The sequence below is a fragment of the Homo sapiens genome, chromosome 14, assembly GCF_000001405.40.
Source record: "Homo sapiens chromosome 14, GRCh38.p14 Primary Assembly".
NCBI classification, from domain to species: domain Eukaryota; kingdom Metazoa; phylum Chordata; class Mammalia; order Primates; family Hominidae; genus Homo; species Homo sapiens.
This window is the reverse complement of record NC_000014.9, coordinates 55,026,885-55,049,604: the sequence shown is the minus strand read 5'-3', so window position 1 is coordinate 55,049,604 and position 22,720 is coordinate 55,026,885. Positions and strand designations below refer to the sequence as shown.

The 22,720-nt window shown below is 38.2% G+C and overlaps 2 protein-coding genes across 7 annotated transcripts in view, besides 3 other annotated features; one reads left to right on the top strand and one right to left on the bottom strand.

Annotated features, from left to right (window-relative positions):
* Window positions 1-115: 115 nt before the first annotated feature.
* Window positions 116-22,369, bottom strand: SOCS4 (suppressor of cytokine signaling 4). 4 transcript variants are annotated; one of them, XM_011536425.2, is made up of 3 exons: window positions 22,134-22,369; window positions 17,614-17,801; window positions 116-6,653 (listed from the first exon to the last, which is right to left on the bottom strand). In XM_011536425.2, exon 3 carries the CDS (start codon window positions 6,561-6,563, stop codon window positions 5,241-5,243), a length of 1,323 nt encoding a protein of 440 aa, XP_011534727.1. In that variant the 5' UTR covers window positions 6,564-6,653; window positions 17,614-17,801; window positions 22,134-22,369; the 3' UTR covers window positions 116-5,240. The 4 variants fall into 4 exon arrangements, with proteins under 4 accessions (XP_011534727.1, NP_955453.1, XP_011534728.1 ...); NM_199421.2 differs by having other exon boundaries at window positions 17,614-17,742; XM_011536426.2 differs by having other exon boundaries at window positions 17,614-17,716.
* Window positions 21,630-22,156: an enhancer, noted in NCBI's record as "OCT4-NANOG-H3K27ac hESC enhancer chr14:55494167-55494693 (GRCh37/hg19 assembly coordinates)". NCBI's record gives its function as "activates a minimal SCP1, AML or CMV promoter by ChIP-STARR-seq in naive H9 embryonic stem cells {active_cell/tissue: H9 hESC(naive)}" and the evidence as "EXISTENCE:reporter gene assay evidence [ECO:0000049][PMID:30033119]".
* Window positions 22,157-22,684: an enhancer, noted in NCBI's record as "OCT4-NANOG-H3K27ac hESC enhancer chr14:55493639-55494166 (GRCh37/hg19 assembly coordinates)". NCBI's record gives its function as "activates a minimal SCP1, AML or CMV promoter by ChIP-STARR-seq in naive and primed H9 embryonic stem cells {active_cell/tissue: H9 hESC(naive and primed)}" and the evidence as "EXISTENCE:reporter gene assay evidence [ECO:0000049][PMID:30033119]".
* Window positions 22,479-22,528: a silencer, noted in NCBI's record as "silent region_5777". NCBI's record gives its function as "represses an Ori minimal core promoter by ATAC-STARR-seq in GM12878 lymphoblastoid cells {active_cell/tissue: GM12878}" and the evidence as "EXISTENCE:reporter gene assay evidence [ECO:0000049][PMID:35858748]".
* The window catches only part of WDHD1 (WD repeat and HMG-box DNA binding protein 1), an 88,151-nt gene continuing 87,936 nt past the window's right edge, over window positions 22,506-22,720 (top strand). For all 3 annotated transcript variants that reach the window (NM_001008396.3, XM_006720012.2, NM_007086.4), the window contains exon 1: window positions 22,506-22,577. The gene's annotated coding sequence lies outside the window, so the exon portion shown is untranslated. The remainder of the gene's footprint in view (window positions 22,578-22,720) is intronic.

Here is a 22,720-nt window from a genome sequence, read left to right as displayed (position 1 = left end):
AAGGAGTGTATTATAAATTAGAAAATATGTAAGAATATGGGTTTCTCTATCTTTTTCAGATTCTAAGTTGAATGTGTGAAGTAAAGACTATGTTTTTAAAATAAAACACAAAGCCTTTGGATTTTACATAGGAAGTTTTAATTAAGTAGAAATGAAAATTTATCCAGATCAATTTATTTGAACTTACATCCAAGAAGAAACATTCAACTTAAGGATTAGAAATAAAAGTGGCAATTGTCTACTTCTTTTGTGGTAAGGAATAGATCATACAAGCCTGACTGATGAGAGTAATAGCTTTGTGAAAACTGTATATTCGAGTACATGTGAACTCATACTTGGCTTATACAGAATTTATCCAATTCTAGCAAAGTCAGCATAATTTAAATAAACCTCCTTGAGTTTTACACCATGGCTCTCAAGTCTGAAAGCTTAGATTTGATTATAACCATGGCAAAAGTGATTATCTTTATTTTCTGAAAACGTAATCAACTTTTAAAATAAGTTAAGCAAACATCAGTTTTACACAGACCATATGAAGGGTAGGAGGAAACTGCAATTGTTCCTCTAATTGCAGAGCCTAAACCATAAATTCAAATTGTACTGCTATCTCTACTGTTAAAACAAGTCAAGAAAGTCTTTTACAGTCTAAGAGAAGTGAATGTAATTATGCAGCATCCACTACAAAGATATTTTGAAAACCTATCATCATGTTAGTACTCAATGGCTGTACAGCAATTATTTTAAAGTACGCTCCCAGGGTCACCTCTTGCTGAAGAATTAACTCCAGGAAGTCGAGTTACAAGTATCACCTACATTTTATAGGAAATAAAGGCAAAGATTTAGGACTGAGTCATCTGTTCAAAATTAGAAAGTAAATAAAAAAATAGACTTTGGTTTTATTTGAAAATCCCTTTCTATTGGGTTATATCCATTAATCTACATTTCAACTTCCAAGCCAATCTATTTTAAAAAGTTACCTCCATTTTGTGTCCAATATCTTACTGTATTAGAATAGTACAGGTAGACTCTTGCACTGCTCATTTCTAGTAGGCCATTAATAAAGAAAAGAAAAACCTTTGTGCTTTCTGTTCTTTCCTTAAATTACAAATGTAAAACTGACTTTTTTCCCCCAAAGTAGAAACAGTAGTTTGCTTGACGAAAAATCTTTTATTCACTTGGGCATTACATTACCTAACATTACACAGGCTATTTTGCTTTTAAACATTGTTTTCCTTGTGTTGTCTCCAGGAATCTCTTATAATTTTGTCTATTTTCCTGTGAAATTTGCTTTACCAAAATGAATGCGTAAGCTGTTTATTGGATTCTGACAATAGCTAAAAGCGACAAGAAATATTTTAATGAAAAGTAAGCGTGAGTTAGATCTTGGCCGGGCACAGTGGCTCATGCCTGTAATCCCAGCACTTTGGGAGGCTGAGGCGGGTGGTCACCTGAGGTCAGGAGTTCGAGACCAGCCTGGCCAATGTAGTGAAACACCATCGCTACTAAAAATACAAAAATTAGCTGGGCGTGGTGGCACACGCCTGTCATCTCAGCTACTTGGGAGCTGAGGTAGGAGAATTGCTGGAACCTGGAAGGCAGAGGTTGCAGTGAACCGAGATTGCGCCATTGCACTCCAGCCTGGGCTGACAACAGCGAGACTCTGTCTCAAAAAAAAAGAGATCTCAAGGTTTTTGTTTCATAGGAAGGAAGCTCTCTATTGCGTGGATCTATAAAATGATCCAAACTTCAGAGACAGGAAGCTGATAACTGGATTTATCTTCTTAATGGCTTTGGCTCATGAATAAATGATAATGGTTTATGTGTTTTTCTTATAAAAAGAAATGGAATTTGTATACCGATAGGAGTCCTACTTGCCACATTTGTTCTACTTATTAAGGGATTTCTAATTACTGAGACATTCTTTATATTATTTATAATAAGAAGTCAAAACTTTAACTGAAAGCCATTCTTTGACCACAGTTGGCCATTAGCTGAAATTCAGGAAATAGCACAGGTTTGATCACCAAATCAATAAATCTAGCCACAGGCTGACTAAAAGCTTCCTTTAATCTTCTTCCTATTAGGTCTTCCTTTAAATTAAACCATTCCCTTCATGAATTATTTAAGTGAATGGCATGGTTATAGAAAGATCACATATAACTCTATACAAAAATGCTAAAGGAACCTTAAAAAGTCCATTCAGCATACTTCAGGAATTATACTATGAATCAAGATGCTGTAGGCTTAGAAAAAAATGGGAGTGGGAGTATGTCCTGTAAAGCTTCAGAGAAAAATAGAAAAGTCAAGTTTATTTCCTGATTAGCCCAGGATGATTCCCAAAGCGCAGTTAAGTGTCTGGTCCAGACTAGCTATTAGCGATTAAGTAGTTTCTTTTCACTGTCAAGGCTTTTCCCTGAGGTAATGCCTAAATTCCTAATTTTAATATTTGATCTTATTTCTCTTAGCTCCATCCTCTCTCACCAATAAGCTCTCCACATTTCCACCATGCTAAATGCTTTCTCAACTCTGGAATTTACACTGTTCAAATCTTCCCTTTGTTCAACAGTTATAAAATTTTAGACAAATTTATACATTCCCACATTGTTCCTCTCAAAATTTACTCATTTATATAGTGCAATCAATATATTGTTTACATTTTATATAGGTTAGTTTCTGAATACTGTATGTTCTTCCAAATGTATCCTTACAAAGACACAGAGGAAGGGGGTAACCTTTCTGAATTCCAATTCCTTAATGTTTTAAAAAAAATTATTACTCTTTTCTTTTCCCTTAAACAATTCCCTTCTCAAGTCTTTATGTATCTACTTTCCAAACTTCTTTTCACTGTAGCAAATACCAAAGGAAAAATAAAAATCATTTCAGAGTCAATGAATCTCCTCCCTGCTCTCATTTATTAGATCAACTACTTCAAGGCTACATATGTGGCAGTACTTTTTAAGTGTTAACAGCTGTTAATACCTTGAAGTTGAAAAAATAAAAAAGCCAGAGAAAACATATCACAAGCAATCAGTTTGAATTATATGAAAAGGTACTTAGATCTTGACTTTCATATAAATACTAATTTTAACACTATAAAAGACAACATAACTATATATCATTTTTCTTTATAAAACTACCCCTTAACAGAATATTTGTAAGCTAGTCATCCCTTAGGTTTTTCTGTACTGATAAAAAGTTATTTTTAAAAGAAAAATATTTAAAATAATTGTTTCACAGAAACAGAAAATCTTATCAAATTCTGATAAAAAACTATAATCATGGGTACTCTTACCACACTATTTTCTTTCACCAAAGATGGATATTTAGGAAGTGGTATATTGGTTAATAAGATAAGCTTCTCAGTGATCTACAAAAGCGCCACAATAAAGATGAGGTAGTATGAGACTTTTCTAACCTTGTAAAAGGTAAATATCGTCTTTAGAAGAGATATTTATCCTGACATTGGTGTTATGATATCCGATATCCTGAGCCTCATCACTGCTAAGAGGTGCCATTTTTGTAGCTACATCTCATTGAGACTAAGACAATCTTGAGATCACTGAGGAAAAAAAAAATGCTAAAAGATAACGGTAATAGAGATTTTCCTTAATTTTGTAATAATTACTAAAAAATTATTTTAAAGCTATTATGGAAAAATGCCATTTTCATGTTAACAGAACTGCAAGATAGGGAAATGCTACTCACATAAAAGCAACAATAATGAAGAAATATTTGTTCTAACTTGGAAGTTTATGAGTCAAATTTCTTTCAATCTAGGTAGAAGCAGTTTCCTAATATAGCTAAACTAGCATCAAGAAATCAGTTACGATATTAAAAATGTCAATGTGTACAAAGGGTTAGACAGCTCACCAGAAGAAAATTGTCTATCTACATTTATTATTCATTGATTCCTTAAAAAAAGAAGATAGGATACCACTCCATTTATTTTTACTAGTTACTTTGGGCTAAAGATGTTTCTAAAAACGTTGCCCTGTTTCTGGGATAGTAAATTTAAAATATCACCCCTTTTGTCCAGTACTGTTCTGTATGGTGTAAGTCATGTAGCTGTCAAAAGGCTTTCTTTTTTTGAAGCCACATTACAGACTAAGTTAATTCTGAAGATAGGGATAATTATTTGGATCTTGTAGATCAAAAACAGTATTAAGCTTCCTGAATACTGAGCTCCATGTTTATTTCTGGAATCTTTATTCAAATTCAACTTAAAATAATGAAAAACTACTTAGGTACTCTTTGGTTACCAGTGGAAATTTGTGGCTGCTAATACATTGTGGAATTTCCCCAAAGTAACAGCTCAGAGTTTCTATAAAAGGGCTAAGTAGAAGCAACAGTTCATAAGCTAATACAGAAAAACCCCACAATTACTTTAGCACTTTAGTAACTACTAGCTACTAATAGTGTTATCATTATTTTCAAAGCTTCCAATGAGAAAGGAACAAGATTTATGTTTTGAAGATGGTTTAGCTCTTGCAGGTTGAGAGAAAGACCTATTCAGGAATGACAAATGATCCGGCCACATTGTAGAAGAGTAAGTGCACCTCCAGAATGATATGTTTCCATTTGATTCTCATTGACCAGATTAATCAAATTTAGTAATCCTGCTTTAGAGTTAATATTTAAAATAAAAATACACCAAGTTTGACTTGGTTTTGTTACTTTTAACATCCCTATTAGTAAGTTACAAAAGTCAATAACATTAGTATGAATGGTGAATTACAACATTCAGCTTTACTGAAGAATATCAAACTCAATGAAAAGGGGGACGGGGAACTATATTTTATATATAATACTACTAATGGCATAGATTAACAAAATATTTTACATGTAGGAAAGGACATAAGATTACTTTTAAAGAATAGTATGAAATACACAATATTCAAATGTGTTTGCAATGCCTACCAAATTTCAAATGTGCCTGGATCATGTATAAATTAAGGAAAAAGGATCATGTATAAATTAAGGAAAGAAAAAATGTAAGTATACAACCTACACGGTAAAAACAAAAACCAAACACCTGGTTAAAAATATCTATTTAAGCTCGAGTGTATAACCTTAAACAATTTGTGTATCACTAGAAAAATGGATTTATTAGTAAAATTTAGGGCAGAGATTTTATTTTGGACACCACTGCCTTTGTAGAAAAATCCAAAGTGGCATAAAAAGAAAAATAAAATATTAAAAGAAAAAATATATATTATCATTCCCATGTTCCCATCCTGTTACTAGCATTGCTGTTCTGGTGCATCAATCCTGAGTACTCTAACTTTTGATTTATAATGATATTCCTTCAGATATAATTTCATAGAAGAAGGAATTGGAAGGGCATCGATGCCATCATAAGTTGTACAGTTACAAATAACTGTTCTGCATATATGCTGCAGGGAAAAAGGGAAAGTCCGAATTAAGGGAGTGGATAGAAGTGGTTCAAAGAACATACAGGCGCTTGGGTCCTTATAATGTTCTAGGAGCCCAGTAATGTCAGGAGAATGGAAGACACAGGGGTCATGTGCATCAAAGCTAAAGTTGTGATTCCACTGTTCAATTCTAGCATGAAGAGAACGACTATAGCGTCTAAAACTAACAGAGAATAAATAGTCTTCCTGTGCTGAGTCTCGAAGTAAAAAGGTACCCTCTGGTTTTCCTTCCAGTAGTGCTTCGGCTGCGTATTTATCCATCACTCCCCAGTAACATGGGTTGTTATTGATCTGAAGGAGGTCTGGTACAAGACAGTGGACATAATCAATCTGCGTGTGGTATTTAGGAGGTGTTTCCAACTGCAGGATTTCATCATCCAAATCCCATTTGGGTTTGTTTCTTTTTCTGGAACTTGTGCAAAGTGTTAGAATTTCATCATCGGAATCCATATCACTATCTTCTATACTGTTATTTGAAACCAGGTTCATCACAGAGCCAGTCATAGGACCTTCTCTACACAAAGCATTGTCGGTGGTTATGACACAGGGCTGAACATTGGTATGTGAGAAACAGTTTATATTTTCTTCCATATTTCTTCGTTTTAGCTGACCATCCCTCAATTCAGTCTGAGACAAGTCTGTGCTTACCCATTCATCTGATTTGGAATTTATAGGAGCAGTGTGTCGTTTAATAAAATGCCACCTAAAGGCTAAATCTGATCGAGGTGGGAAAGGACACTTATCTAACATGAGTTCACTGATATGAATTTTCCTTTTAGACGGAAGCCCTGAAGAGTGCCGACTACTACAATTCTTTATTGGAAAACACTGCCCCACGGCATCTTGCAGTTTCTGTTTAAGAGATCGGCCTAAAAATCGATGCCCACAGGAATGATCTAAGTCCAACTCAATGGATGAACAGCTGTGCTTCCTTTCTTGGTTCCTTAAAGACACTTCGGTTTTCTCTATACCATTCACTGTCTCAGCATCTGAATAACTCTCACTCTTTTTTGACCAAGATAACTTCTTTCCACTCCACACATAACCGTCTTTTCTGTCGGCACTTCTGCTCCGACTAGTTTTGGGCCTTACATCTACATTTTTACTAATATTTTCATTATTTTCTGCCATGTTAACAAATTATCCAGATTCTAATGTTATAAATACTGCTTTTTCATTTTTTCCAGCAGGAAGTTTCTTCTGGGCACTTTCTGGATGTATCTAAAGAAAACAAAAAAAAGTCATTAACCATTTGTCATCTACCTTGTCTAGTTTACATATTAAGCTTCTATTAGACACAAGAGGGAAAAGCACAGTTAGTACATGAAAAAGAGATGTTGGAAGGGAGTCCCAAGACACTTTGTTCCCACTTAAATAACATGCTATATATTATATAATATACATGATAACTTAATAGTGCCATAGAGTGAAGAGTGAGTTCCTTTCTCATAGCTAATTTTCAGTGTGGATAAGAAAAAGCCAAGCCTCCTCTATCAACCATAATAAATACTCAAATGTGAATAGTTTCTAGTCTTGAAGTATATCTTATGCTCATCTCTCCTTACCATAGTTTTCTTATTTCACAGCAGACCAGTGAATTATTTGTAGAAGACAGACACAAATCTATGAGCTGGTATTTGAGAACTACTACCCTACATAGTTCCTTCACCTTCTTCTCCCTATTTCCTTCCCTACTGATTAAAATATGAACAATTTTAAGTTGTAAAGCTGTAAGAATTTATTAAATAAACAATCACCATTGAACAGCAAAAATGCTCAGTAAGCATTCCCAATACAGTGTTTTAAACTCACTTCAATAATTAGTCAACTTTACCATTAGTCTAGGCAATTTTTAGAAAATACAAAATTGATAAAAATTAGCCATTTTAAACACATACTCATTTGTATTCTTGATCATTTGAAAACAAGCAGATAAATTTCTATAAGGCACTGCCTTTCCTCTGAAGTTGGTAAAACATACTAGAATTTGCAATGTAAAATACCGAGTTTCATGAAGACTAATGATAATGATTGTTTGTAAATGGAATTTACTTAAGTATTCTTATGCAGAATAAGATTTAGGGTTGCCAGGGGAGGTGGTAATACTAGCACTTTGAGAGGCTGAGGCAGGCGGATTACCTGAGGTCAGGAGTTCATGACCAGCCCAGCCTGGCCAAAACAGTGAAACCCCATCTCTACTAAAAATACAAAAAATTAGCCAGGTGCAACGGCGCACGCCTGTAATCCCAGCTACTCGGGAGGCTGAGGCAGGAGAATCACTTGAACCCAGGAGGTGGAGGTTGTGGTGAACCAAGACTGCGCCACGGCACTCCAGCCTGGGGGACAGAGCGAGACTTCAGCTCAAAAAAAAAAAAAAAAAAAAAAAAAAGATTAAGGGTTGGCTGGGCACGGTGGCTCACACCTGTAATCCCAGCTCGTTGGGAGGCTGAGGCGGGTGGATCATGAGGTCAGGAGTTCGAGACCAGCCTGGCCAACATGGTGACACCCTGTCTCTATTAAAAATACAAAAATTAGCCAGGCACAGTGACGGGTGCCTGTAATCCCAGCTACTAGGGAGGCTGAGGAGAACTGCTTGAACCCGGGAGGCAGAGGTTGCAGTGGGCTGAGATCGCACCTCTGCGCTCCAGCCTGGGTGACAGAGCAAGACTCTGTCTTGGAGGAAAAAAAAAAAAGATTTACGCCAGGAACTTGGGGAAGGGGTCCTATAATCTCAAATATTTTACAAATGAAAAATAAATTTTGCAACAAAAAAAATCAGTCATACTCAACAGTCTGATATGATTGTCTGATTATGTCACAGGAAAATTTAAAAATCCCAACAGTCAAGTAAATGTCTACAGACACTTGAATCCATTTTCAAAGTAGTGGGATTTGAAACAAGTATCTATATCAGAAAATATGACTGTCAAGTGTTTAAAAGTGTGAACTAATAATAAAGACTTGCCATATAAAGAACTCCATTTCTAAGGCCAGGTGCAGTGGCTCATGCCTGTAATCTCAGCACTTTGGGAGGCCAAGGTGAGTGGATCACCTGAGCTGACTTTGGGACCAGCCTGGGCAACATGGCAAAACCCTGTCTCTAACAAAAATACAAAAAATTAGCTGGGTGTGGTGGCGCACGCCTGTGGTCTCGGCTACACAGGAGCCTGGGAGGATCATATGAGCCTGGGAGGCAGAGGTTGCAGTGAGCCATGATCGTGTCACTGCACTCCAGTCTGAGTGACAGAGTGAGACCCCAGTTCCAAAAAAAAAAAAAAAACCATCTGGTGATTATAGTTATTATGGTCAGCCCTCCATATCCATGGGTTCTCCATCCTCAGATTCAACCAATTGTAGATTGAAAATATTCAAGGAAAAAATCCCCAATAAATTAAAAGCAATACAGTATAATAACTCTCTTTTTTTTTTGAGATGGAGTCTCGCTCTGTCGCCCAGGCTGGAGTGCAGTGGCATGATCTCGACTCACTGCAAGCTCTGCCTCCCGGGTACATGCCATTCTCCTGCCTCAGCCTCCCGAGTAGCTGGGACTACAGGCGCCCACCACCACGCCCGGCTAATTTTTTGTATTTTTAGAAGAGACGGGGTTTCACTGTGTTAGCCAGGATGGTCTCGATCTCCTGACCTTGTGATCTGCCTGCCTGGACCTCCCAAAGTGCTGGGATTACAGGCATGAGCCAGTGCGCCCGGCCTATAATAACTCTTTATATAGCATTTACATTGTAGTATTATAAGTAATCTAGAAATGATTAAAAGTGTTTGGGAGGACATGTGTAGGTTATGTGCTAATATCACTCCATTTTATTTTAAGGGATTTGAACATCCATGGACTTTGGTATCTGCAGAGGTCCTAGAACCAATCTCCCTTGGATACGCAGAGACAACTGTATTTTGATTTAGTGTGCTCAATGATATATAACCATTTAAGATCTTTAAGGAAAAGTATTTCTTATTTAATTTTGAAAGAAACTTCATCACTTAGCACAGCCAAAATTGTATTCAACTGCCTGCTTTGGCTGTTCATTGACTAAATTCCATTGAACAAAAATTAGAAGCAACAAGATGGGCTGAAGAATATGAAGAGTCATTTATTAATAAGGTTTGAAATGCTTGGCGCTTTTATTTACTAAATGAACTTCACTTATGAGTGTGACCTCTAGTCTTGTCTCCTTGCTACCTCTAAATTGTGGCATTTCTTCCTTCACTTCCATATGAGAGCTAAGCTCTCTAGCTGTGTTCTTTTTTTCTTTTTCTTTTTTGAGACGGAGTCTTGCTCTGTTGCCTGGGCTGGAGTGCAGTGGCACGATCTCGGCTCACTGCAAGCTCGACCTCCTGGGTTCACTCCATTCTCCTGCCTCAGCCTCCAGAGTAGCTGGGACTACAGGTGCCCACCACCATGCCCGGATAATTTTTTTTTGTATTTTTAGTAGAGACAAGGTTTCACCATGTTAGCCAGGATGGTCTCGATCTCCTGACTTCGTGGTCCGCCCACCTCGGCCTCCTAAAGTGGTGGGATTACAGGCATGCGCCATCGCGCCTGGCCTCTACCTGTGTTCTTGATGACATTCTCACCTTTACCAAGGCCCTACTTCAATTTCTCTCTCAAACTTCTTGCTACCTTCAAAAACAACTAAGTCTGCTTATAAAATGTTTCAGTGATTATTATAATGCTTTCTTGGTCGTAACTGTTCCCATTTCTACTAAATTCATTTTATTTTTTTAAGACAGGGTCTCTATCGCCCAGGCTGGAGTGCAGTGGTGCAATCATGGCTTGCTGCAGCCTCGACCTCCCAGGCTCAAGTGACTCTCCTGCCTCAGCCTCTGGAGTAGTAGGGAATACAGGCACGTGCCACCATGCCAGACTAATTTTTAAAATTTTTTTGTAGAGACAGAGTCTCCCTAGGTTGCCCAGGCTGGTCTTGAACTCCCAGGCTCAAGTGAAAGTGCTGGGATTACAAGCATGAGCCACTGAGCCCAGCCCTAAATTTCTCAATGAGTAGTGTAACTTAATTTCCCCTCAAGATGAAGACAGCTTTTTGGTTTTTTCTCATTATAAAACAAAAATTACTCCAGTCAGAAAATGGCTGAGTAAAAATCTTTTTGCCCCACCCTTCTCTCAGAAGTCAGTCCAAACAACAAGAAAATATGAGAAATAAAATCACAAACCTCTTCTTCAATGAAATGAACAGATATCTATAACCTGAGTCATAAAATAGAAGTACAGAAAACAAATGAACAATAACTGACTCAGCAGCAGAGATGCAGGTGACAGACATCAGGCACAGAGGTAACACAGATAAGACACAAGCCAACAGAGCAGGTACAATTCAGGACCCACAGGCACTGGGTGCTACAGAAAGTCTGGGTGGAGAACAGGGTGGAACATGGGGAGATAAGTTGAAATTCTGCCTAAGAGCAGGTAGATTTCTCAGTTTCTTATCCACATTTAGAGGAGATGGGACATTTATTATTTGGAGAAACTGAACTAGGTGGGCTCAGGACTTTAAATACCAGACACAGCAGAGGGTAGAGGGGAAGACTGGGCCTAAAAAACAGAAACAAAGTAAAAGTTCCTTGTTCTCTTCTGCCATCCAGCTCCCAGAACTCCAGCAGCTAGATTTATACCTCCCTAACAGAAGAGTGGCAGATACTTTCCTGGAGAAAGAGAATGGCCAAAGAGAAAAGATCTGTCAAAGCTGATAGCTGGGAATCCTCCAATAAAAAGCTAGAAGACCACCCAAGCATACAGTGAAGCACACATATCCACAGGCCCTGGCTACTCACACACAGCTTCCAGGCAACATAGCTGTACACTCTAAACTATGAAAGAACACTCCTGGGTTATCAGACTTGATATTGTTTGCCTGTGTCCCACCCAAATTTCACTTTGAATTGCAATAATCCCTATGTGTCAAGGGTGCAGCCAGGTGGAGATAATTGAATCATGAGGGCAGTTTCCCCCATACTGTTCTCATGGTAATAAGTCTCTTGAGATCTGATGGTTTTATAAATGGGAGTTCCCCTGCACAAGCTCTCTTGCTTGCCACCATGTAAGATGTGACTTTGCTCCTCATTCACCTTCTGCCATGATTATGAGGCCTCCCCAGCCATGTGGAACTGTGAGTCAATTAAATCTCTTTGCTTTATAAATTACTCAGTCTTGGGTATGTCTTTAATAGCATGAGAACAGACTAATATAAGACTTTTGAGGAAAGCTTCTAACATATATGAAATAACAAAATATACAGAATTTGGAGAAAGCAATAACCATGGAAAGAGTAGAAACTAAAATTGACTTACTTCAAGTCAAGAAAAGATATTACAACTATGAATAAGTAAGATGGTATAAAAAGGAGGTAGGGGCCGGGCACAGTGGCTCATGCCTGTAATCCCAGCACTTTGGGAGGCCGAGGCGGGAGGATCACCTGAGATCAGGAGTTCAAGACCAGCTTGGCCAACACAGTGAAACCCTGTCTCTACTAAAAATATAAAAATTAGCTGGGTGTGGTGGCAGGCGCCTGTAATCCCAGCTACTTGGGCGGCTGAGGCAGGAGAATCGCTTGAATCCGGGAGGCGGAGGTTGCAGTGAGCCGAGATTGCACCCCTGCACTCCAGCCTGGGTGACAAGAGTGAAATTCCTTCTAAAAAAAAAATAAAAAAAAAGAGGTGGAGACAACTAGAATAAGAATTTTTTTGGAAATTAAAAATATGATTGTTAGGCCAGGCACGGTGGCTCACGCCTGTAATCCCAGGACTTTGGGAGGCAGGTGGATCATCAGGTCAGGAGTTCAAGACCAGCCTGGCCAAGATGGTGAAACCCTGTCTCTACTAAAACTACAAAAATTAGCTGGGCACAGTGGTAGGCACCTGTAGTCCCAGCTACTCGGGAGGCTGAGGCAGGAGAATTGCTTGAACCCGGGTGGTGGAGGCTGTGGTGAGCCGAGATCATGCCACTGCACTCTAGCCTGGGCGACAGAGTGAGACTCTGTCTCAAAAAAAAAAAAAATATGATTGCTAAAATAATTTTTTTTTTTATTGAGAAAGGGTCTCACTTTGTCACCCAGGCTGGAGTACAGTGGCACTGATCTCAGCTCACTGCAACCTCTGTTTCCCAGGGCTCAAGTGATCCTCCTGCCTCAGCCTCCCAAATAACTGGGACTACAGGTGCATGCCACCATGCCTGGCTAATTTTTGTATTTTTTTGTAGAGATGGGGTCCTGCCATGTTATCTAGGCTGGTCTTGAACTCCTGGGCTCAAGTGATCTGCCCACCTTGGCTCCCAAAGTGCTTGGATTTTCAGGTGTGAGCCACTGCACCTGGCCTGAAATAAAATATTCAATAGAAAAGTTCGTGGGTATGCTTAGGAACTAATACAGCAAATAGGAAAAAATGGTTAACTAGACAGAAAAGACAAGAAAATTAGAGATTAATATAGGCATTTCACAGAAAACAACAACAAAATGGACGGGAGAAATTATTAAAGAAACTATATTAGAAAATTTCCCAGGAATGGCCGGGTGTGGTGGCTCAAGCCTGTAATCCCAGCACTTTGGGAGGCCGAGACGGGTGGATCACCTGAGGTCAGGAGTTCTAGACCAGCCTGGCCAACATGGTAAAACCCCGTCTCTACTAAAAATACAAAAATTAGCTGGGTGTGGTGGCAGGCACCTGTAATCCCAGCTACTCGGGGGGCTGAGGCAGGAGAATCACTTGAACCCTGGAGGCAGAGGTTGCAGTGAGCCAAGATCATGCCATCGCACTCCACCCTGAGGGACAAGAGTGAGACTTCATCTCAAAAAAAAAAAAAAGGTTAGAAAATGTCCCAGGACTAAAGGACAGGCACCTCCATATTGAAAGATCCCACTCAACATCAAAGTACATTATTCTAATTTTAGAAGCCTAGAGATAAAGAGGAGATACTAAGTCTTTCTGAGAAGGAAAATTCATGCTCACCATGGAAAACCCAAACTAGGCATAAAGTTATAAGGAAAAAGTAAATATATCCATAATCCCACCACCCAGCAGTAACCACTTTAACATTCTCAGTATCTCTATATATGTATATGGATGGCAAGGATGCATTCCCACAGCATAGCGGCGGCAGGCATTAGAAACATGGTTTGAGTCCATAAGAAGACATGTGACTTTAATATTTTGCTAATGTGCTCGTGTCCGCATTTTTTTTTTCTTTAAATCATAGCCATATGGTAAATTTTCTATTTTGTTATGTTTCTCTTTTATTCATGGGCATGCAGTGGGTGTTTCTTGGAAATGGCCAATTTTTATTAAAATATTTCTGGAAGAAAAAAAAAAAAGAAACATGGTTTAAGTCCAGTTTCTGTTTTGTGCTAGCCATATAACCTTGAAACATCAGTGCATTCACATGTAAAATGGAGGTACTAATGCTATCTATTTCACTGGGCTGTTGGGGATAAAATAATGCATGTATTCAGCTCAGGTCCTAAATGTATTAATTACTCAATATATGTTAACATATATGTTCATATTTTCTTTTTGTTTTAAAAAGAAACAAAGATTACATATGTTGTTTTGTTAAAGCACCTAAGCCAGTCTTATTGGCTTTACAGTTTTCTTCATAATGAAGAAATCACAGAATACCTCTGTCTCTAGTGCAGTGTTACTACAAGGTAAAGAGATTTTCATGAGCAAATATAATTTTCAGGAGGAAAACTAATGTTTCAAAGTGAAAAAGGATCCACATGTCAGATACAGGTGAAACTCATAGACCATGAAGTTACAGAAAAATTTGACATCTTCCCCCAAAGAACAAGTTTACACGCTAACAAAACAGGTTTTCTTTTGCAAGACTCCCAACTTGTATGTTACAGGTACCAGTCAATCAAGTGTGTTTGGATTTTAGGGTAACTGTTTTTACGTGTGCTAATGCTGTAGATGTCCATAAAATAAAGTGAAAAATATCACTGCCCTAGTTGAGTTTTCCACACGTTCACCTGTACTTAAAGAGCTAATGCAGGCCGGGCACGGTGGCTCATGTCTGTAATCCCAGTACTTTGGGAGGCCGAGGTGGGTGGATCATCTGAGGTCAGGAGTTTGAGACCAGCCTCGCCAACATGGCAAAATCTCCTCTCTACTAAAAACACAAAAATTAGCCGGGTGTGGTGGCGTGCACCTGTAGTCCCAGCTACTTGGGAGGCTGAGGCAGAAGAATGGCTTGAACCTGGGAGGCGGCGGTTGCAGTGAGCCAAGATTGCACCATTGCACTCCAGCCTGGGCGACAGAGCAAGATTCCATGTCAAGGAAAAAAAAAAAAAAACAGAGAGAGAGTTAATGCAATGAAAACTTTTTTTTTTTTTGAGGTGAAGTCTCACTCTGTCGCCCAGGCTGGAGTGCAGTGGCGCAACCTCTGCTGCCTGGGTGCAAGTGATTCTCCTGCCTCAGCCTCCCAAGTAGCTGGGATTACAGGCACCTGCCACCGCGCCTGGCTAATTTTTGTAGTTTTTTTTAGTAGAGACGGGGTTTCACCATCTTGGCCAGGCTGGTCTTGAACTCCTGACCTCGTGATCCACCTGCCTCGGCCTCCCAAAGTGCTAAGATTACAGGCATGAGTCACCGCGACTGGCCTGAAAACTTTCTGATTAGTTACTGTTTTGTATCTATCTCAGAATTAGAGCTTTATATAAATTTTGCGTAGCTATTCTTTTGCTAGAGAACTGTTAAGTTCATGCTCAAGAAGTCCTACTTTTATAAAATGTTATCTTTTGCCCCATCAATATATGATCCAGAATGTCATCAGATATTTTAGTCTTCAAAGTTGGAAGAAAATTTTTCTATTTATATTTGTCTAAAACATACAAAAACTAATATTAGTACTAAATATGGTTGATAATGTTACCATCATGCATTGTCAGATGGTCATTTGTCTGTGCTGTTCCTAAGAGAAGAATGGGAATTCCAAAAAGCTGACAAATTATGGCAGCCAGCCCTCTCCATTTCTTTATTAACTTTCAGTGTACTGTTTATATCTTTTTGTTTGTTTGTTTTTGAGACAGGGTCTCACTGTCACCCAGGGTGGAGTGCAGCAGTGCGATCTCGGCTCACTGCACCTCCACCTCCCAGGTTCAAGTGATTCTCCTGCCTCAGCCTCCCCAGTAGCTGGGATTACTGACATGTGCCACCACGCCCAGCTAATTTTTGTATTTTTAGTAGAGACAGGGTTTCACCATGTTGGCCAGGCTGGTGTTGAATTCCTCGACCTCAAATGATCCACCCACCTCGGCCACCCAAAGTGCTGGAATTACAGGCATGCGCCACCGTGCCCAGCTTTACTGTTTATATCTTACTAGAATATTTCGTGGATTGTATTATTTTAAACAAGAGAATCTTTAAAATACTTTGTAATGAGACATGACCATAGACGTTTTATAACATGCAAGGTCTGCTAATTATCTCAAGACAAAGTACTTACATAAGTTGTTGAACTTTTAAGAGGAGTTGTGCATTTTTCTTTTACAAAATAACAAGTGTTCTAAATTTCATAACCATTACTGAAATAACAAGTGGCTCTCAGAAGCTACTTAGCAGATAGATATATTTTTTAAAAACACATACATTTAATCATTCACTTTTCGGCATAGGTAACATCTTAACAATTACTGAGAAAGTAACTGCTTAAAAAATAACTGTGTGCTATGGAGAGATCTTATCAGAAAAAAGATATTTAGAATTTCTTTCACCATTATTTGATTCTGTTACAAAAAAATGAGAGAAGTCTATCAAACTTTCATATCTTTATACTTAAACACATATAAAGAGAATTTTCTAATCTCTTCCAGAAGCTTCTTTGAACCAAAATTCTAAAATATAAAAAAATCAATCATGTTGCTTTCAATAAAAATAACTTAATTTTAGTGAGAGAAAAATTATTTTTATTGTTATGAAGACTAAAGATTAGTTTTTTGAAATTGTGCTTTCGTATCTTGTCCATACATGTAAAATCTGAATGTAAAAAAAAAGTGTAGGGTTCTGAATCCGAACAAGTTGTTCCAGATAGCCTATCATTAATTCTTAAAATTTTATAAAAACTTTGTATAGGGCCGGGCGCGGTGGCTCACACCTGTAATCCCAGCACTTTGGGAGGCCTAGGTGGGTGGATCACGAGGTCAGGAGATCGAGACCATCCTGACTAACACGGTGAAACCCCATCTCTACTAAAAATACAAAAAATTAGCCGGGTGTGGTGGCAGGCGCCTCTAGTCCCAGCTACTCGGGAGGCTGAGGCAGGAGAATGGCATGAACCCAGGAGGCGGACCTTGCAGTGAGCTGAGATCGTGCCTCTGCACTCTAACCTGGGTGAGACTCCGTCTCAAAAGAAAAAAAAAAACTTTGTATACATGAGGTAGAATAATAATAAGGTGGCTTTACCAACAATTTCATGTGACACAGAAATCAAAGATGATGGTTTGAAAGATGGTGACAAATCAAAGATCTTTGACTGTAGCTGCAAAAAAGCTTTTTAAAAAGAAGGTGAAAGAATCACTTGGGAAAAGGCTGCTTTGGCTCTTGATTCAATAATTAATTTTTTACGAAGGCAGCTATGTTACATTGCCCTGGGGAGTACAGAATGACATCTTTTTTTTTTTAAGTCATATTTCTTAATGAGCAAAAAGCAAATGTTTAAAAAGCAAGTTTATATAAAAGCCTTCTCAAGAAAACAAGTACCCAGATTCTGCCACTATTTGGTCCCAGGTTCTACCACAAATTACAATGACAACAATAACAAAATGAGTGCCCATTATGTCAATTTTCATTACAAAATATTTAAATAACATTTAGTAATACTGACTAAGGCTGAGAAGGTGATTTTAATTCAAAATTTCTACAGGAAACAATTCAAATCCAATAATTAAAAGGATAAGCTTCATTTATCTGGAAATTAATTAGTATCCTCTATGATGTAGGATAACAGCATTATTGCATACGTTAATTATTCATTGAACTACTTATGTCTATGATGCTGACATACATCTAACACCACAACTAATGTAAATACTAAATTGGAATACATTTGATCCTATAAAGAATAATTCAGTATACTACATTAATAATTCACAAATATATTATTATTCTGGTAGTAATTAAGCCTGGGGACTTTCCCTACGAAATTCATGATTCCAAAGTTTACCTGCCATCATGTGCCCAAAAACTCCTTGAAAGCATTCTGATCATAGTCCTTGATATTTGAGTTGGATTCTGTAGAAACACTTAGGCTCCACAAACGGAAGTCACTGGAGAGCAGACAACAGATGAACTCCTTGGAATGTTAAGAAAAAAATCTGAAAACAGGTTTGTTTGTATGGGAAAATATCTGACCTAAAAAACAAATGTTTTCTCATTACAGAAGCAATACAGGTTCATTTTCCAGTAAATATTTTAAAGTATCTCCTTTTTTCATGCTACTGAGCCAGGGCTCATGGGACTTAATTGCAATTTTCTAAAAAAGAATCATTGATTTAGTAGCACTACACCCTCCTTTCCCTTTCTCCCCACTTTTTCCATGCTTTCCTAATTATAGTTTGCTTATGTCACTTTTCCCCACTCTGTACTCTTGTGGACACTAGTTCTGAAAGATGTTAACACATATTCTGGAGAAAAAAAGGTTCTCTTGTCAAATAAGTTTGGGAAATGCTTCTTCTCTCAAAGATTACAGTGCATATTTAGCAAACGTTCCCAGGAGATCCTTCAGTAAAGAAATCTGCATAAACCATAGCTTCCTGTCTTTACTTTGCCATAAATCCTTTTGTGGAAGAAAGTTTGGGGAAACATTAATGGGCTAATCTGTTAACATCAGTGTACATTCCCTAAGCTTATTAGCTAAAGATAAGGAGAGAGGTCTAGGAACCCATCACTGAAGGGGCTAATCTAGAGTGAAGAAAGCAGAAACTACGAGCTGGCAGTACCTGAACTTCTAAAAGCAGAAGGAAGATTAACAGAATTTAAGAAACAGAATATTTAAGATATAATACTGAACCATTTTATGGAATAAATTAGATTGAACAGATTTATTTTTTCTTCCAATCTGTAATTTGTTATGATAAAAACAATATATGCTCATTGTATAATACATGGACCATTCAGAAAAGTTTAAAAAGGAGGGGGAAAAAAGCTATAATTCCATTATTTAAAAGCAAGCAATTTTGACATTTTGGCTTATTTCCTTGAATTCTTTTTTCTTGTGAGACCAATTAAGCATAAAGAGAAAATTTTAAAGTTTTAAAGATCTGTAAAAAATTAACAACCTACACTGTTTTTCACTATACCATATTTGAAAATAAACATGGTGAAGATGAAATAGCATGAGCTGCTGAACTGTCAAATGTGGGCTACAATTCAGACTTTTCCACTCACTAGGTATGTTACCTGGTTTAAAAAAATCTAATTTAGCTTAAGTTCTCCCACTGTAAAATCTGGATAATGCCAGCTACCTCATGTTTTTACTGCCAGGAGTAAAAGGTATGAAAACAACATACACTGAACTTAATGAAAAGAAATATTAACTGCTTCCTAGTATTACTCAGAACTTTTCATGTTAGAAGAAGTACATTTCTAAAAATGAGAGGTGGGAACACTTTTTTTAAAGAACACTATTTTTTTAAGAAAAAGGGGAGGGGAAACAAAGGCTATATGTAAGGCTAGAAAATCTGCACAAAAACGTGCCTCAGAAATCTGAAGTCAAGGAGGCTCTTCCATTTCTGAAATATCACAAAGCACTTTATATTATTCCTGATGTTAAATATATTATTTTTAAAAAGTTTTAAATTCTTTAAAACAAAAAATTGTAGTTTTTTAGAAGCTTAGTAAATAGATTTAAGTAGAAACAGGCAAAGATTTTATAAGATTGTATTATATTTTCTTCACTGCTTTATAACAATTACATATGCTTACATTTAAGGTTGGGTAACAAGTTTTACGTACAAATTAGTAAAAGGTGACTCTACACTTTATGTTTTACTAAATTCTAAGTTTTGTGGCAACAGCTATGATTTGGAGAATCAGTGCGGTAGACTACCTTGGACTAGGTGAAAGACCTGGGTTCTATTTCTAGCTCTGACATTTCGCAGGTGTGTGACTAGATAAAGACTAGATAAATCACAACTTTTCTGTTTTTCTATCTATATAACACTGATTATCTCATCTTGCTGTAGTAAGGATCTAGTGTTAATGTAATACAAGAATCAAATACTGGCTGTCTTTAGCCAGGGGAACTGGATGGCTGGGAGTATGAGTAGGAGGACGACTTTTACTGTATTGCCTTTTATATCATATTAAGTATACATACAGACAAGTACTATTTACCCCAAAATTATTAAATAGGCTAGTAAGTTTCAGGACACATTTGGAAATATAAAAATCTTCACATTTCTAAAGTGCCTTCAATGTTTCTTTTTTCAATACTTTGGTCTCCTTGGCTATTGTTACACTCTTCTAGCCTTACCTTTCACAAGATTAATCATTTTTACACCAAGTACATATTTTACTAGAAAATAATTTTTTAAACTCCTTCCATAAGCCAATACTGATATATCCTCTTAGATAAATCCTGTAAGATCACATGATTTTATATAGGTAATACCATCATTGGTAGAATGGCAATGTACCCATGTTTTCTCACCCAATTGTCCTTGGGAGCAAAAATATTTGTGAGTCTAAGGGTAGTATGAGTGGTTACAACACAGCAAAGCTAACTAACCATCACTGCAATTCAATCTGTGACTTTGGCATCATTTTCAGTCAGTTCATTTAGCCACCCACACCTATGAGATAAGCACTGTTAATGACAAATAACTACATTTGGAAAATTTTTGATACTCCTATCAGTGACACAGCTACACTGATTTCTTTTTAAAAAACTATGTTATTTTAACTAACTAGACAATTTTGCTAATATTTAAGTTACACATCTTTCATTACTGCACTATCATCTTGATCATATTGTTTGAATGTCTATTTCCCTCAGCAAGACCATAAACTCACTGAAGGTATTACAATTTGTAGCCATTTGACTGAAACAAATGGAATTGTGAAAACATGATACTAGCAAAAACAAGAATACATTTTTTAATATTTGAAAAATTTACTGGATAATTATTTAAACAAATCCCACTTTAAACAAAAAACACTAAATACCCACCCAAAGCACCCCTTTAGTAACATGAGATATTAATAACAATTACTTTTATACATCCATGAGTATCTCCTATATACTCTAACAATGCGACGGAGGTAGGTGTCATCTCCATTTTAGAGATGAGGAATTCGATTTTCAGTAAAGGAACATATTCAAGGTCACACAATGTGTCAGTTAGAATTAAAACCCAGGACTGTTAAACTCGGAGGCTCAAGCTTTTACCATACATGCAAAATCTGCAAAGAAAATTGTTCTTTAACCTATGAATCAAATGGCTTGATTGATAAGAGAAAATGACAGATGTGTGGACATCAATCATAGTCTCATGGGTATTACAGATATTATAGTGAAGGCATTTTGTAGCTATAACTTGTTCCAATTTGCAGATTCTTCTTATGCTGAGCTCTGAATAGTACTAACCAGAAATCTCACCACGCTTTATTCAACATAGAGACGAATATTATGAGAGTTCATCTTGAACTCTATGTACTCTAGCCAATGATATTGTTACTTGAACGAAAAAATTTATAAGCCAGTCTATCCAAAAAACAAATGATCTCCAAAAAAAAAAAATTAGGTCACTCAGAAAGCATCATCTCTGGTACCACTGCTCTTTCGGGAGATCAACAGTGGGTTATTTTTCCACAAATCCCAAGTTGTTTTTAAGCCAATCATTCTTCCTCTTCATTCATATACAAACCTCAGCGTCTAGCAAGGCTATCTGGAGCTCTAGTACTAAAAACAACGCCTCACACAATGCCACCCACGGTAAGAACACGACGGTTTGCCTGTGTGTTTGCAACTTTTCACAATGGAACTAGATTGAAAAAAACAATAGGGAAACCTCTTCAACAGAAAAACGTCTCAGGTAATAAAATAAATGTGATTGATACTGGAAGGTATCACAAAAACGCAGAAAAATTCTCAAAGATAAGTACAAATGAAAGAATATCATTCTGAAGGTTTTCATCACAGGCTGCTGTACCAATATGGAGAATGAAGATACAAGAAAAGCATAAACTTAAACTTAGTGGCCAAGACTTTAGCAGATATTGCATGGATCAAATGTAAGTGCTCAAGGCTACTAAGTTATAACTCTTCTTTTGGTTATAAATATTCACTTCAGTAAACTTTAGGTGGGATCTGAATAGAGAACACAAGTTACTTTCTTCATAACGGATATATAGAGTCGCAAAGAATAAGCATTAATTGAGCATTAATTAATTATACCTTCAGGTACCAAGAGAACCAACCGGAACAGAAATTAAGTCATTCCTTCTTTATCTCTACAGAAGCGACAAGGTGAGGGCACGAAGGATGCCAAGATTAGAGGCTCTAGAAGATCTCGCCTTCTTTTCCAGAGAAGATGCTCAAAGATCTGTCTGCTAACTGGGCCCCAAGAAAGAGACCGGATCCTTTTAGGGATCCGGATATTGTTTCCTGGGAGGAGAGCCTGGAGGGCAGGAACAAGACCCCGGCCTGCGAGGCCAGGCAGCGGCCACCCTTCCCCCACTCACCTCCCGGAGCGCAGCTTAACTGGGGTTGTGCGAGTAACTGCTGCCATCACCATCGCCATCAGTCTGGGCGCTTGCTTAAGTGGAGAGGGGAGGCCCAACCACTCCTGCACCTCGTGTAGGTCTTACAAAGCAGATGCTTTTCTGCCACCCCCAACCCCGCTTCGGCGTTCCGGTCCCAACCCAGCCGTCACGGTCATCGCCTCCGCCGGTTCCCTGGGCGCCGCCACCACTTCCGTGTTCAGCTCCCTCCCTTCCTCCCTGATTTGCCCGGGCAACCGGCTAATTTCCACGCGGAGGGCGCCGCAGCTGACGCCACCACCCGGCGACCTCTGTCGGGACCTGCGCTGGGCGTGGGCGGGTCGGCGCAGGCGCAGTGTGGTGAGCGAGCCGAAGCGCGGGAAGCAGCTCTTGTGGATCCTCAGTGGCGGAGGCTCGGTCACCCGGGTGAGTCCCCACTCCGGCTGCCCGCGTCCACCAAGGAGATGCGTGTTCCCTTTCCGGCTTATTGTCTGACAGACCCTCTGCCTTATCCCGCTGGTGTCACTCGGGTGGGGGAAACCGGGCTGCGGAGAACGGGCCCTAGAGGA

Bases quoted from the DNA above. Each gene is read 5' to 3' on its own strand.
- SOCS4 (XM_011536425.2), bottom strand. From the start codon at position 6,563: ATGGCAGAAAATAATGAAAATATTAGTAAAAATGTAGATGTAAGGCCC.